At 33.4% G+C, this 620-nt stretch overlaps 1 annotated feature.

Annotated features, from left to right (window-relative positions):
* Positions 1–201: a silencer, noted in NCBI's record as "peak6984 fragment used in MPRA reporter construct". NCBI's record gives its function as "represses an SCP1 promoter by STARR-seq MPRAs in K562 erythroleukemia cells {active_cell/tissue: K562}" and the evidence as "EXISTENCE:reporter gene assay evidence [ECO:0000049][PMID:32103011]".

Genomic DNA, 620 nt, shown 5'->3' on the forward strand with positions numbered 1-620 from the left:
CACTACCTATTAGGATATTATTTCTTCAGAACTTGAAGATACTGCTCCTTGGCCTCAGCAGTTTCACTGTTGCTAGTGACAAGTCAAGATAAGACTATTTCCTTCGGTAGCCTTGAAATTTTTCCCTAGAAACTTTTAGGTTCTCTTGTTTATCTGTGTAGTTCTGAGCTGCACCAACTTTTTAAAAGAGAGCAGTCTTGTTCTTTCCTACCATTTGATACTTAGTAAGCATTTAATTCTGAAGATGTGGGTCTTTTTTTCAGTTCTGGAAACTTTTCTGTGTGTATACCCAAACACACACACACACACACACACACACACACACACAGAGATCTTTCTATAAACATAATACACATATATAATTCTGTGTGTAAATATAATACACATCATACACATAGATACACACATGAACACACACATAAAATTTTATATCTGTGTGTATTATATTTATTTCCTCTCTGCTATTGTAGAACTTGTGGATCTGTTTTTTATGCAACTGAAGGTTTATCTCATATTTTCCACCTCTTTTTGTGATTTTTAATGTTTTATGAAGAATTCTTTAGTTCAATTTGATTTTAATAGCTCCATTTTCCCCTTCAGCCTACCAGTTGAGTTTTTAA

The sequence above is a fragment of the Homo sapiens genome, chromosome 8 (genome assembly GCF_000001405.40).
Source record: "Homo sapiens chromosome 8, GRCh38.p14 Primary Assembly".
NCBI lineage: Eukaryota > Metazoa > Chordata > Mammalia > Primates > Hominidae > Homo > Homo sapiens.